This window comes from Homo sapiens, chromosome 2 (genome assembly GCF_000001405.40).
Source record: "Homo sapiens chromosome 2, GRCh38.p14 Primary Assembly".
In the NCBI taxonomy this organism is placed as follows: Eukaryota; Metazoa; Chordata; class Mammalia; order Primates; family Hominidae; genus Homo; species Homo sapiens.
The window spans coordinates 30,145,627-30,161,259 of record NC_000002.12 but is presented as its reverse complement, the minus strand read 5'-3'; the positions used below and the strand labels follow the sequence as shown (position 1 = coordinate 30,161,259).

At 42.3% G+C, this 15,633-nt stretch overlaps 1 protein-coding gene across 12 annotated transcripts, besides 3 other annotated features; it reads right to left on the bottom strand.

The window, feature by feature from the left end:
- Positions 1-726: 726 nt before the first annotated feature.
- YPEL5 (yippee like 5) lies at positions 727-14,253 on the bottom strand. Of its 12 annotated transcripts, none has more exons than NM_001127401.2 (5): positions 14,198-14,253; positions 12,719-13,015; positions 5,350-5,410; positions 4,468-4,632; positions 727-2,641 (listed from the first exon to the last, which is right to left on the bottom strand). In NM_001127401.2, the coding sequence occupies exons 4-5, from the start codon at positions 4,606-4,608 to the stop codon at positions 2,417-2,419; spliced, it is 366 nt and encodes a 121-aa protein (NP_001120873.1). In that variant the 5' UTR covers positions 4,609-4,632; positions 5,350-5,410; positions 12,719-13,015; positions 14,198-14,253; the 3' UTR covers positions 727-2,416. The 12 variants fall into 12 exon arrangements, with proteins under 12 accessions (NP_001120873.1, XP_016859807.1, XP_047300698.1 ...); XM_017004318.2 differs by having other exon boundaries at positions 12,797-13,015; XM_047444742.1 differs by having other exon boundaries at positions 12,955-13,015.
- Positions 13,140-13,579: a silencer, noted in NCBI's record as "silent region_11323". NCBI's record gives its function as "represses an Ori minimal core promoter by ATAC-STARR-seq in GM12878 lymphoblastoid cells {active_cell/tissue: GM12878}" and the evidence as "EXISTENCE:reporter gene assay evidence [ECO:0000049][PMID:35858748]".
- Positions 13,870-14,039: a silencer, noted in NCBI's record as "silent region_11322". NCBI's record gives its function as "represses an Ori minimal core promoter by ATAC-STARR-seq in GM12878 lymphoblastoid cells {active_cell/tissue: GM12878}" and the evidence as "EXISTENCE:reporter gene assay evidence [ECO:0000049][PMID:35858748]".
- Positions 14,070-14,649: a silencer, noted in NCBI's record as "silent region_11321". NCBI's record gives its function as "represses an Ori minimal core promoter by ATAC-STARR-seq in GM12878 lymphoblastoid cells {active_cell/tissue: GM12878}" and the evidence as "EXISTENCE:reporter gene assay evidence [ECO:0000049][PMID:35858748]".

Below are 15,633 nucleotides of genomic sequence, written 5' to 3'. Positions count from 1 at the left end.
AAATTTAGGAAACAGATGGTACTGATATTTTTCTCCTCCAATCCCAAAGTAACAACTCCTAACTGTAACTTAAATCTTCACATAATTACTAAAATTATTTTTACCAGGAATGTTCACTTGAGAGTCTAAATAAAAGCACTTTAAGATCAAAACAACTTACGGTTACTGTCACCTAAGACTAAGAGGAAGAATTTTCCTCTTCGGTCAGGGGAAAAAAAGCTTAAATCTGTATATTCCTCAGTAACCTACTTAGTTCTAAGTTCACCTCTACTTGTTTAACTCTCCCACCCCAAAGCAAAAATCATTCCTATTAATTAGTATCCCCATCTCAAAATAACAATGGTTTTCTGTAAATAATCCAAAGTAGACCTTCCAATATATATTTTTTTTTTTTTTGCAAATGGAAGTTTTTAAAAGGCACAGAGGAGCTTGCTGCTGGTACCTGCCAGTTACCTAAAAGTTAACCTAGTAATATGAAATTTTTTTGTTTATATATACTGAACTATAGTTATCAGTATCTAAGGCAAAATGATCTCAGAGAAGTTAATACTGGCAAAGTCAATGTCTTCATGTGTGAATTAGGCAGTTAATCAAGTCAGACATCACTATCATTGCCAAATGAAGAAAGCTACAGGTACTCAAAGATACCAAGTATGTGTTCAGAGATAAAAATTAAGATGATCACTAGACAAGATCAGTGGAAAATAAGCAGCAGTACTGCATCAATGCAAGACAAAATATACTTTATTGTGACAGCAAATGCACATAGTGCTGTAGGTAAGGCATGCTACTAGGAATCTGCATATAATCAAAAGCCAGTATGGAAATGAATGGAAATGAATGCTGTTGTTCTCAGATTGAGTCCATGGTGGAGAAAGGATAGTTTGTGTCCACTTATTTCAAATGCAGTATCATACCTACTTAATCAGTTACCTATGCTTCTAACCAACAGCCCAGTGGCAAATAGGAGGAACTTAACTGTACTCAGAAGTCACTTTTAATATCAACGACAGAAATATTTCACTAATTCAACTGAGGCAAATTTCCTTTCTAGACAAAGGACCTAGAAATTGAGCATGCAAAACATCCATCCATTCATTCATTCAAATAATTAGCCAATTTTACCGTCATTTAATTCCACCAGAAGCAAATACTAGAATATCTAGAAGTAGTTTGGGTAAAGAAACATTTACATTTTAATATTGTGTAATGTCATAAATTTGGGGCTAAAATAACACCAGGTCAAATTTGATCCCTTTGTATGTGAGGGTACAAAGTACAGTTTTCGTTTCAACAGCTGAACTTCTGAGAGAAGAGCTGAAAAAAATGCTAAATAAGAGATCTAGGCCTTTGATGGAAACTATTAGGCTCTACAGACTTGTCAAAAAATCAATGCAAAACTGAGGGGGAAAGGCTGAAATGCTTTGTAAAGCAGTATTTTTAGACAAGTTGCTTCATTTCCCCCTTTTCTAAAACAGATGCAGATTAAATGTTTTTTTGCATGAATGCACATTGACATTCTGTTCAACTGTTTTCTAAATGCAACACTGCGGGTTTCAACAGTATGCTTTCATTTAAACAAAGAATATTATATGCATGGTCAATTTAGTTTAAGAGATGAAAAAAAACTTTACTACTATGAAAATTGCTTATCAAATACTCTCCTCTTTTATAAGGTGTTTTTAAAAGCAACACAGGACCAAAAGCATCCAACTATTACTTTATTTATATTACTATGCTTAAGTTACATGGAAAAAGACAACCCAGCAGTTCTGTCCCATCTCAGAAAAAGTTTCCAATCAACACCAATTATGTGGTGACAAATAACTAGGAATGGTGACATCTTTGGGCCAAGACTGACAAGGAAGAATGGGCTCTGGTGCTACGGTTCATCTCCAACAAGAATATGGCACACCGGCCAGCACAAGCCATGCTAACACTGAGCCTTTAGCGCTGGGCACAGATTCGGATCTCTTCTCTGAAGCTAGCAAATCAAGTGAAATAACTGGGTTTAAAAAAAAAAGTTTAAAATGAAGCCCAAGTTTAAAAACCATACTCCTAACATTTTCCTTTCACAATTGACATAAAACACACTTTTTCACTCTAACAGCCCAGATTTTTTTCCTTACATAGCTCACCACATAGCTGCAGACAGACTCTGCTGCCTCAAGATGTAAACATAGGGTAAAAAATTAACGGCATCTGCATAATATTCTCTCTACACACTGCTGTTGGATGGAAAATACAAAATTTAAAAAAAAAGAAAGAAAGAAAGAAAGGTTCCATCTTAGATTCTCACAACCTCTTGTTCCGCAGTTCATTAATCCGACTCTGATGCTAAGGTGACAGTGTATGTAAGTAGATTTTTGTTTTCAGTGAAGGAGACCTGGGAAAAGATGGATTTCTCTCTGTATCTTCAAGAGTTATCAGATGGTACATGCTCCTCAAAGCCCTCACTCTCTCGAACTAGAGCACGTTCCAGGATCACGCGGCCTTCCTTATATCGCTGGCTGTCTTCAGTGGCAAACTCATAGATCCATCCCAGTTTGCTATTGCAGTTTTTGCAGCTCACATCTCGAACCATGTGGCGGCCAGTGAGCATGACCCGATCTTGAACTTCACTGTACTGCAGGTTAACTACCTAACAAGGGACAAGGAAAATCAAAATTGCAAGGCATGTTAGTTATTTGCCAAGTATGTACAAAATATTATGGTTAATGCAACAGCAACTTCAGAAAAGGAGAAAGAACTTGTTAGTTTAGTCAAACCTATAATACGCAAGACTTATTTATTAGAAGCTGCTGGGGCAGGCAGACATCTGGAAATTGCACTACACTAGACATCTAATGCAATCATGCACTACCGTACTAGCCTAAGTCACACTATTTAAACATACTAGTTACATTTCTGTGTTGCAGGTAAGAAAAAGTCCTGGAATTGGAGCCATAAAATGTAGGTTTGGGTCCAGTTGTAGTAATTCATCATTATTCAATGATGAGTGCAAATAATACAATCCATGTAAAAGAACCTAATGCACCATAGTTATTCCATAAAACAGTCTGTCAGTTTGTTTCTGAAAATATACTGTATATATAGACTGGGACAGATTAAGCCTACTAAAGACCATACATCTGCAGTACATAGTTTTAAAGTGAATTCAAAGACAATGAACACAATGAAGTGGGTCTGAGACAATGTGTAATGAATTTCCACTGATTCTGAATACCCAACAATCTTCTACACTTTCCTTTTCTGTAAAGGGCCAGATAGTACATATTTCTGGCTTTGACGGCTATGTGGTCTTTGCTGCAACTTTTTAACTCTGGCACTGTAGCATGAAAGAAGCTGTAGACAATACGTAATGCACAAGCAGAGCTGTGTTCCATTACATTTACCAAAACAGGCAGCTGTCCTGCTGCAGTGTGCCCTCCTCTGTACCAAAATAAATGTCAAAGAGTATGAGCCATCAATTCTGAGAAAAGCTGCTTCTACATGGAACAGAGGAGTGCCCACTGGGGAAGTTCATCTGATCTTCTAAGAACAGTACCCTAGACTAGCTATGTTCCTTAGCCTAAAATACTTGGAAATTCAACTTTTCTATTATATACCAGATTCCGGGAGGCAGAATCACGGCATCCAATTTGAAAGCAAGCCAGAAATTAGAGAGACAGGCAGACTGGGCACACACTTGCAAATCAGAAAAACACTCTTCCTGTCAGCAAATCCATGGAAGGATGATTGGTGAGCATGAATTAGAGCATGAAAAGTTGGTTAGATGATCGTTATTCGCTGTCAAGTTATAATAGTTTAACGCCACCATCTCCCTATATGGATAAACCAGTGACATGTGGAGAAAGGGAGGTGGGTATCTTGACCTGTTCCTTCCATAGTCTGTGCTGAAGTTGCTACCAAATTCTTACACTGAACATTTCCTGAGGCAACAGAGATCACACTTCTTTATACTTTTTTTTTTTTTTGAGACTGAGTCTCACTCTGTTGCCTAGGCTGGAGTGCAGTGGCGCTATCTCGGCTCACCACAACCTCCGCCTCCCAGGTTCAAGTGTTTCTCCTGCCTCAGCCTCCCGAGTAGCTGGGACTAGAGGCACACACCACCACGCCCAGCTAATTTTTGTATTTTTAGTAAAAATGGTGTTTCACCATGTTGGCCAGGCTGGTCTTGAACTCCTGACCTCGTGATCTGCCCACCTCGGCCTCCCAAAGTGCTGGGATTACAGGCATGAGCCACTGTGCCCAGCCTACTTCTTCAAACTTCCAAGGTTAAAATCACATCCTAGTAACACCTTCCTAAGGTCCCATCAAAGACGAGCTAGTGGGCAATCATTTCTGTAGATTTCAAGCTCTCATTCTGACTCTTCCTGGTATCTCTAAGCTCTGAGGGGGTATTCTGGTGTTGCTGTCAAATACAGCCAATAAGCCCACTTAGGAATCAAACTTTTTCTCACTAACCTTGTTAAAAAGAAATGCTCTGCCAGTGGCGCCTGTGAAACGAGTGGAGATGAGTTCTGAGCGGTTGGTCAGGATCGTATCACAGTTTGCACAAGAAAACAGACGGGTACCACCGATATGATCAAGGAAAATTCTGCCCATTTTTATGGCTGAAGTTCTAAAAACCTAGGAGCAAATAGAAAAGGATAACAAATGCATTATAATAATCATGTTAGCACCTACTTGGGGGGTGTCATAGAGAACAATTTGTATACGTATTTATGTAATCTCTGCTTTGTAGTACTCGATGTGTGAAATAGCTGATCCTGAACAAAAAGATCCAAAGTTCACACACTGAACAAATAAACAGGCATGCCTAAGCTAAGAAGATTTTAAAGCAGTGAGCCAAGGAAGTAAACCTATTAGCCAAGGCCAAAGAATAGTGTCACTTCTCTTATGGCTGGTGTGGAAAAAGAAAATGGAAAGTGGAATTTCAGAAAATGAATGATGTAAAGCACTGGCAGAGAGGTGAGAAAAAAGGTTTAGCATAAATGTTAAGTATACGTTCTGAGCATGTATAATTTCAGAAAAGAATTGTGAGGTTTCAGTGGGATACAAGTAGATAAAGGGGCAATTAGAAAACAAGAAGAGAGTAGTCTGGTTTGAGAACACAGAGTGAGTAGGTCTGTGATCACCAGGTGCATCTACAACTATAGAGGTGATGACTAACTTTAAGTCAATGTCTAGGGAGCACTGTTACTAGGTACTTATTTCAAAATTGTCACAGCTCTGTGAGGTTGTTACCATCACTTCACAGATCATCCAAGTCAAGGCTAAAAAGGTTATTAACTGGTCAAAGGTTACAAAGCTGTTAACTACAGAAAAGTACAGAATGCAATTCACCTAATTCAAAGTTCTTCCATGATCCTACACTGCCTCCAAGATGGTCCAGGCTGGCATAAGGCTAAAGCAATGAGAACAGAATAAGGGAAAGATAAGCTTTCCCATACATAACTTGATTATCTTTAAGAAATCTTACTGATTCAATAAATCATAAAAGTGCTGAAACACTGAAAAGATGTAAGTTTGAAACATATGTCTGAAACTAGGGTAACACTTTATAACATTCAAAAGTTAGGGAAGTTACTATATGCAAGTTCTTAAATCCATCATAACTAATTATCCTAAACAGTATTCTTAAAGATCTAGATATAGTCAAGAATATACCACAGTTTTAATTTAAAACATAATTTATTCTCAGGTATAGTTATCAGCGCCTGTGTTTTAAATATTTATTATACATCTTTCCAATGGCATGCAGAGCTAATGTAACTGCCACTGTGGAAAAAAAAATCCAGAATGCATGTTCATAATGAGAATCTACTGTTGTCTTAAGATTGGGGGAATTCCATTACAAATTTAAAAGGAAATTCCATTCCTTCTAGGTCTATGAACTTCCCCAGCCATTAGGCGGTCTTAATGTCACTAGAAATGTTATCACAAAAATCATTATGACTCCCCTTAAACATTATGAAAGTTTAATAGGGAATAAAAAACAAATGGTGAATATAATGACAATGTGCAGCTAGTAAAAGGAAAACCAGCATATTAACAAGCATCACAATGAACCTTGCACTAAAACACAGACTTAAGCTATAATATTTAACTTTCTAATTACATTTCTATAAAACAACAAAAGGAAACACTTATTGCCTTATTTCAGCCTTTAAGATTACCGCATTATTTTTTTCCAGATGATTAAGAATACAACACTTGGCCAGGTGCGGTGGCTCACACCTGTAATCCCAGCACTTTGTGAGTCTGAGGTGGGCGGATCACCTGGGGTCAGGAGTTCAAGACCAGCCTGGTTAACATGGTGAAACCCTGTCTCTATTAAAAATACAAAAATTAGTCAGACGTGGTGGCGCACGCCTGTAGTCTCAGCTACTCGGGAGGCTGAGGCAGGAGAATGGCTTGAACACAGGAGGCAGAGGTCGCAGTGAGCCAAGATCATGCCACTGCATTCCAGCCTGGGTGACAGAGCAAGACTCCGTCTCAAAAAAGAAAAAATACATTTATTATTTATTTACATATAAGTCAGAAGTTGCAAATTCGAGGCCTACAGGCTGAATTCATTTGGTAGCCTAGGAATACAGCAGTGAACAGATACAAAAATCCTTCCCTAAAAAACATATGTGGACATGTCTGTTTTATTTGGGTCACACAGTTTTTAATCTTCATTTTAAAAAGTTGAGATGACATTTAAAATTTGGAAGATCTCATTAAAGAGCCTGTAGTTTGGATTTCTTTTTAACAATGGGGAGGGCACATATTCTCCTATGGCAACAACTGACTACAAGTGACCTGCACCCCCTAACCCTCACCAGGCCATTTTATTTGCTCAGTCTCCACTTTGCTTCACACAATTACTTCACCTCTTTGGTCCTTGAACCAATATTTGAATGTATGACTCCTGATATAAATAAAACACTCAACAAACCTGTGAGCAGTTAAGTTTGGTCATGTTTCTGAATCTTGATCATTAACAGAAGGGAATCAACAGCAAGGTTTTGGAGTCTCAGCCGTTGAGGTATAGGCCTCAGATTCTGTATGTCTTTGAAGACTAGTATTTGTGCAGTCATTTGTAACCTCCAGCTAGGGGTCTGGGATTCATTATTTTAAAGCCAATTTCCCTTAAGACTTTTAAATACAATATTCATGTTGTAATTTATTTCAACCGTAATGGGAGAGTAACTACCTGTATCTACATTGACCACTGTGACACCATACGGTTGTGGTAAATGCGCTGGACTTCAAAGTGAACTTTCCCTATGCCTTCTGCCTACATCATTTTATCCTTGGCTAAAAACTACTGTGATCATTTCCTACTGAGGGTAAATACATTTAACATGCCTTTTTCCCCTGATTCCATCTATTTTTTCTCTTTACCCAAGTATTTTTACTGGATTCAATTATATGATTCATTACCAAGACCAAAAATATCTGAGCAAAACCTTATGTTACACTATTCCTAGTTGTGGTTGCCATTTATAGAGAATTATACATATAGAACTGTAGAATGTAGTTTTTGTTTGCTAAGAAAGATAAGTTAGAATGCCACAGGATCTAGCAGAAGCAAGCAAAACATCACTTGCTGTCAAAGGTCTTTAGGAAGTAGAAAAACCTCTGTAGGGTCCTTAGGCTCCAAGAGGTAGCCCTGGCCTTTGCAGGGTTAGAAACTCAACCTAACACTGACACTATTCAAACTCTCAAGAGGCTGACATCCATTAAAATGCCACTGCTATGGTCTCAATGTTTGTGTAGCCCCCACCATTCATATGTGATATTACCAGGTGATTAGGTCACAAGCACAGAGCCCTCAAAAATGGGATTACTATCCTTATAAAAGGGTCCCAGAGAGCTGCCTGCTCCTTTCCACCATGTGAGGACGAAGCTAAAAGGTACCATCAACAGACATTGAATCTTATGTTGGACTTCCTGGCCTCTAGAACTGGGAGAAATAAATTTGTTGTTTATAAGCCATACAGTCTATAGTACCCTGTTAGAGCAGCCAGAAGGAACTAAGACAGCCACTTATTTAAGGAGGACAAAGGCCGGGCGCGGTGGCTCACACCTGTAATCCCGGCCCTTTGGGGAGGCCAAGGTGGGCGGATCACGACGTCAGGAGATCGAAACCATCCTGGCTAACACTGTGAAACCCCGTCTCTACTAAAAATACAAAAAAATTAGCCGGGCATGGTGGCGGGCACCTGTAGTCCCAGCTACTCAGGAGGCTGAGGCAGGAGAAAGGCATGAACCCAGGAGGCGGAGCTTGCAGTGAGCTGAGATTGTGCTACTGCATTCCAGCCTGGGCCACAGAATGAGACTCCGTCTCAAAAAAACCAAAAAAAAAAAAAAAAAAACAAAGGACAGTCATTAAAAAGCTAAGATACTAAGATATAACACTTGAATCAGGCTTCTCTGGACCTGAATAACATATTGAACTCTGCCTTAGACCTAATAATTATTTAGCATCTACACTGTATGGGACACTGTACTTGGTATTTACATACCGCATTTAATTTTGACAATTTTTAAAGTAGGTATTTATCACCTCACTTTTATAGATGAATTAAAGAGACTGTGACTTTCCAGAAGTGGCCAAGCCACTGCATTCTATTATCTCTCTAGTGATTAGAGGGCTATCAGATTTACTCTCTCCCTCAGGGTTTACCATCAGCCCTTCCTGCTTCCATGCTGTTCCTCCTGTATTCCCTATCTTGGTTGATGCCAACTGCAATCACAAACTCTCCTAAACTAGAAACCCTAGTAAGTCATTTAAAAAACTGCAAAATTAACAAGACTTCCTAAATCACTTTTGGAAGTTTTCCTCCCTCCCCTTCATCACTGTATTAGATTCAAACTCTCCTCACATCCGGATAAAACTTTCAGGGTCAGCGAGTGTGACTGTTAAACCCAACATACATTCATACGTACCACTTCATTTCTGCTACATAGAGCTACAAAAATATGGTCAAAGGCATGTGCCGCCCATTTCTAAAAGCTCATAGAGACTGCTCCTTTATAAAATTTGAAACTTTTTTCTGACAGAATAGAAAATTGCAGGTTATTTTTTAAAAAGAAAAAAAAAACCGCTTTATTAAGGAATACTCTACATGACAAAGTTTACTCACTACAAGTGTACAATTCAATGACTTCTAGTCAATTTATAAAATTGTGCCACTATCACCACCAATTGGCTTTAGAATGCTTCCATTAGCCCCTCAAAAATTCCCACACACCAGCCTGGAGCCAATACCTTCTCCAACTCCCAGCCACTGGCAACCACTGATCTGCTTTCTGTCTGATTGCTTTTATATTCAAAATATTTCCCAAGTATGCTAATCACCTTGCTTGGACTTAGAGTAATCCCAGATCTCTTCAGCCCCGTATTTCTAAAACATCTTAAGAGTGAGCTGCTTTCACAGACAGCTAATGTTTGGTGTTGATTCTGGGGGCAGCTTACTGTGTCCTTTAGTAGCAACACACAGGCTTTGGTACATGTCAGTGCTGAAGTTCAAGTTTATAGTGAAATGAGAGCTAAACTCATCATAAAGCTTAAGTTTTATTTAAGATGTTCCCTACCTTATCATGTTATAAATAAGGCCTCTTTGGTACTATTTTCTTGTAGGTCCAGGTTATAAAAATCCTAAAAAGGTTGAATAAGAAAAGTACCAAGCTTGACTGTTTAACTGGAAGACTATTCTTAGTTTATTTGAAATTACCTGAAACAGTGAGGGGCTGGGATGAAAATATAAGTGAAATTTATAGATAATTTCATAGATCGTACTTTAGTATTATTTTCAATTTCCTCCCTCTCTCACCAATAGCATATTTAGCTATCTACAACTTCCAATTTCTCTTTTATCAGAAGACTCTGGTGAAATATTAATAACATTTTAGGATCTCTGCCTTGTTACAGAATTTTTTTTTTTAATTACAGAATCTGTAAGAGGGGAAAAAAAAAGATGATTCTCTTCAGAGCCAAAGAGTCTCCAGGAATGCATTATTTTAAAATGCATGATGGATATGATGGACTACATAATTTCCTAGTTTGCTTCCACATCAATAAAACAATTTTCTAAAAAGACTATTGGTTTATTTTACACATACACTATCAAGCGAAATACGGTATCTTGTTCACTTGTCTGGCTCATTGCTGACTGTTTTCCTTAAAAGCTGGGAAGGCTGTGGGTCAATTCAGCTCGCCACCTGTTTCTGTACTGCCCACAAGCTGAGAATGAATTTTGTACTTTTAAATGGTTGGGGGGAGGGGAGAATATTTTCTGACACAAGATATATGACATTCACACTTGAGTGTCAAAGTTTTTAGGAACACAGCCACGCCCATTTGTTTACACTTTACTCCTTCCACTTTACAATGAAGAGGTATGAGGAGCTGCTACAGAAACCTTCTGGCTTGCAAAGTTTAAAATATTTTTTACCTGGCCCTTTACCAAAAAAAAGTTTTCCCTGCTTAAAAACACATTCTGATAGTGAAAGAGCTTTGCATTTAGAAAGCAGTCTTTCCCAGAAAAAATGGAAACTTGGTTGGCATTTGGGATTAAAGCTAGATAGGAGTATTTGAAAAGATCAGTTTAATCCCATTCCCCTTTTCTTTACTGATTTTCTAGCTAAAATCCTTAACTTTCCGTAACCAGTTCAGCATGTTGAAGATCAACTCTAATAAAGATTATAAAAATAGATAATATCTACCAGCTGCTCTCTCCTCTCTCCACCCCCAGGACTTAAACTGTGGAGCTCAGATACTTGAATTCTGGAGATTCCTAGGTTCAAATCTCAGCTCTTCCCCCTTAATAGCTTTGGAAACACTGGGTGAGTTATCCTCTCCTGTTTCATCTGTAAAATGGTGAGAGCAGCAGCCACCTCTGAGTTATGAGAAATTAAGTGGAGATACTGTATTCTGAGAACGGTGCCTAGCACACAGTGAATGCTCAATAAAGGTCAGTAAAACTAGATTATCTTCTTCAACATTCCCCATCCCAACTCACCCTATGACAGATGAGAAAAGCATGGCTCACAAAGGATATGAAACAATAACAATTAACTGGCTTCACTTCCTGCTAATTATGCTAAAGCTAAGCAACCAGGTGATAGAAATCAGAAGCTGGAGGAAAGTTAGAAACCTTCTGAAGCATGTCACAGTTCTGGGTCTTAAAATAGGTACTTGTTGTCCCTATAATTAATAATCCAGTTTGGTTTCAACCCTGGTAAGTGGAATTAGTCAAGGGAGGCACCACTTCCCAGCCCTAAAAATACCAGGGAGGGTAGGTATCTATTCGCATCTCATAGAACCTTCTGACGGAAAAACACCCAGTTCACAGATAAACTTTTCCTTAGTAAATGAAACCATCGCCTCAGGGCATTTCCATAGAATACACACTTCACCAGATCCCCAGTGTTGGACAGACCACAGTGGGTTTTCCATTGCATCAGAAGATGGGACAAAGGCAAGGTACAAAGACTGCTGCAGGGAACTGAGTATGCAGGCATCTAGCGCAGAAAGGGTTAAAGGAACCTGCCCCTTGCAGAGGTGGTTTTGTTTCGCAATGACTCTGCTAAAATGGAATCCCGTGGAAGCCAGCTTTCCTATCTCGTTTTTAATCTCTTCCCTCGCCAAAACAAAGGATAAAAACCCAAATAACTTTTAAGAGTGCTGGGTTGATTACTATAATAATCAGCACTTACTGCTATTGTAATTTCATCAACTCTTTATACTGAGTTGTGACTAAACGCTATTAAAAAATCTACATGGGAAAACAGTTTGATCCATACAATCAACTTTCCAATTTTTGTGCAAAATATATAACAAGCTAAGTTTTCAGTGACACAAGCAAGCTCTGCTTTCCTCTTGCAGTACGTGACCAGTTTACTTTGCTGTGTCAAATGATGTCCTGTTGTGGAATCAGGTCTTCATTTGCAGTACGTTTTAAGGATATATTTTTGTTCTCCCCCCTCAATAATGCCTTATTTTTTCCTGTTTTGTTAGATGACTTTCAAGTTCACTATATTTCAATAACACTTATATTTAAATATTAGAAAATAAGACTAGTCATTTCACTCAGGAAACCTTGTGTGTTAGTGCACAATCTGAGTTGGTCATCCCCCGCTAAACCCTAGCAAGACAATTTCATGGTCTCGTTTGTTGTGATGCAATACCAAAAGCCTCTAACTAGATGGATTGACGTGTAATTTACCTGTCTGGCTTCCCGACTCAAGTGTCAAGTAGCAACTTCAGGTCTAGCTAAGGTTCAGTTCCTGCATTACACTGACATTACTACACAGGATTATCTTAAAACTGACACTGATCTCTATAGTTATTCACCATTAAACCTAGAATGATATTTTAGGCACACATATACCTAGGACTACCTTCATGTCTCGTGGACTGTTTTTCAGAGGGTAGTAGCTGCTTTAATTACTTCTTTTCATAATTTTTGGCCTTATTTCCTTTCACTTTTTTCTAAACCTGTTTATTTTTCTCATTACTTAAATAGAAAACAGAAAAGGGAAATTAGTCTAGAGAAAAGTTCGCAATGATCCAACCAGGTAACATTATTTTCCAAGCTACATATATTTTACTAACGTCTCATAACTTGCTAAAATTATTGCTCGACTTTGTCCACGACTTTTGATTAAGTTATAAGCTTCTAGAGAAACTATTCTAAATTCTTTGTACTTTACTTCTTACCTAACCCAGTACAAGTATGCGATAAACTTTCAGGAAACGAATTCACCAAAGCACTTCACTTCTGGCATGAATATGTACCCTGGGAACACCACAGGCCTTTTGGTTCCTCTTTGGTGGAATGCAGCTGCGACGCTCTATATGTGGCTATGCAAAGTTAGCTAATATCCTACTCCTCCCAGTTTCTTCACCACCAAGTCTACTAATTTTCCAAAAACACAAGGTTAGCCCGAAGTTACTTCAGGTTTTCCATCTGTCAAGACGACGTAGAATAAAAATCCTCAGATTACCAACAGATCTCTGTAAACAGAAAAAGTTTAAAAATAAATGAGCTGTACAGCTTCCCAGACTCTCCCTTGAAAGGGAGATTAGTTGGTATCAGGATTAAACAGATCTTTGTAGTATTTCAATTTCCCACTCCCGCTGATCCGGACACTCATTTGTCCCATCTACCTGCAGAGAAGGTACAGGAAAGGGGTTGCAAGGGCACGCCCACCCTCCCGACTGCAAGCGGAGGGAAGGCCGCAGCCCGAAGCTGGCGGAGCTGGGCCGGCCCGGGCGACCCCCGGGTGGGCTCACCCGGCAGCCGCAGTGGGGCCCGCGAGCGCCCCCGCCGGCCCAGCTGATGGAGGCCACGTGACGCCAGCCGGCCAATCGGGAGGGACCGGGGCGGCAGAGCGCGGCGGCGGCGGTGGCGGCGGGGCCTCCCTCGGCACAACAAACACGAGCAGGAAACAGCTGAGCGGGTGGCCGGGGGGCTCTCTTGGTCCCGACACCCGGCGGGCTGCCCAACCGTCACCCTGCGCTGTCAGTCCCGGGTCCTCTGGGCAGGAGGGCGGGGGAGGCGGACGTTCATGGGGGGGAGGGGGCAAAGGGAGACACCGCCCCAGCCCGGTGGCTGGGCCGCTTGGGCCGGGCGTGGGCCCTGCTCAGGACGGTTCACGCCGTGCGGTCATCGCGGCCCAAACAACTCGGTCAAGTTCCGACTTGGATTCGGGGCGGAGACCGGGCGCGCCCCCGACTATGCGACGGGTGGGGGCGGGGCAGCCGCGGCGCGGCGCGGCGGGTTGGGGGTCGCGGCCAGACCGTCCGCCCAGGGGGCGCCGTGGGCCTCGGCGGCGGGCCTCGGAGGACGCGACGGGGAAACGGGGCGGAGGCGCGGGCGCCGCGCGGAGGGGTTGCGGCTGTTGTCGCACCGGTCGCCCGGCTGCGCGGCGGGGGCGGGCCGACGGCGGCCGCCGCGCCAGGCCTCACAAAGAGCAAACAGCCCCGCGCGTCCGCCCGCGGTCCCAGCGCCGGGGCCCACCCTGAAGGATCTGGGGCGGCCGCTCTGGGACCCCGGGAAGAGCGCGGCGAGGAAGAGGCACTTCCTGCCTGGGCCCCCCACCCTGGGCCGATTCCCGAGTGCCTCGAAGCCGCCCGACCCGAACGGGCGCCTCAGTCCCCACCGGCCCCGAGTCCAGCCCCTCCCGCGGGACTCACCCTGAGCGGCGGTGAGATCCGCGGCTGCCAGCGGCTTGTCGCTCTTCAGCTGGTATGAAGCCCCTCGGCCACCCGAGTCTCCAGGTTTAGTCAGGCCCTGGCCTTGGCCCCGCCTCTCCCTGGTTGGGCCTCAACGTCAGTCACCCGGCGTGGCTCCGCCCCCCCGCAGTCAGCTCTCCCGGTTGGCCCAGAACGCCCTTTATTTCTAGGCCCCGCCCCTGTCCTCGGCCTCCTGCCTTTTTCGCGGGGCCCCGCCCCTTCTCTGGCTCACCCTCCCCCACTCCCGCACCCCTCCGCTTCGCGGCCCACCCCTCTCAGAAGCCGCAGACCCAGGGCAGGCTTGCGACAGCTCGCCCCGCCCCTGACCCAGCACCTCGGACTCGTACAGCCAATCAAAGAGGCTAACTCTGCCCCTTCTCTCGAGGCGGCCAATGTAGTCAGTCTGGGGACCCACCTCCCCCTTTCAGCTGAGCGCACACAACACAGCATCCACGTGAGTCAGCTTCTTAAAGGCGAAGGCTTGGCCTGTCTAATTGCGGCAGCTGCGAGACATCGCACGTCATTAGCGTCACCAGGTAGCGGCTGGAGCCGAGCTTCCTGATACCTAGTGAGCCGCGGTGATGACAAATGAAAACAATAAGCTGTTTCCTAGACAAACAGCTGCCTAGGTAACTAAAGTGCACCGTGTAATTCGTTTCTTGGAGGCCGTTTCCCCGACCACCCCTGGTAGAGGGCTGCCTTTTGCTTTCAAACCCCTAGCCCTCGAGTCTAAGCGCATAGGCACTCCTAAGAAACATCTGTGGATACAGGATTTTTCAACTGCGCTTGACTTTATTTACAACTCATTTGAATGTTTTTTCTGGGTAGTGGAAATGATTCTCAAAAAGATGAAGAAATTCAGTCTTCTATATGGCGAATTTCTGCCTCAGAGAGTGAGATTTGTTCATTGCAAAGAGCAGCTGTTCCCTTAACCCTTATCAATGCTTAAGATGGAAGATGTTGCTTCTCATTCCATTAGAGTTGCCCAGGTACTTACATCTCTGTTAGCTGACTTTCGGGATAAAACCAAAATATTTGATGACGCATACCTCTCAGATTAAAAATGTAGGTTAGCATTTGGGGCTAGTTTGCAACATGTTTAAAGTCATTATTGGTGGAAGAGAAGCTGCTAAGCAAATTCTAGCACTTGACTCCCGCTCATCCCCAAATCCACAAGTATTTTCATTTAGTTCGTCTGAAGTTTACCTGAGCATCAAAGGCAAAAGGACTAGTTATCTTTTAATAAGTGAGTTTTCCAGGAGATAAGTTTTTTTGTTTGTTTGTTTCAGACGGAGTCTTGCTCTGTCGCCCAGGCTCGAGTGCAGTGGCATGATCTTGGCTCACTGCAACCTCCGCCTCCCGGGTTCAAGCAATTCTCCTGCCTCTGCCTCCTGAGT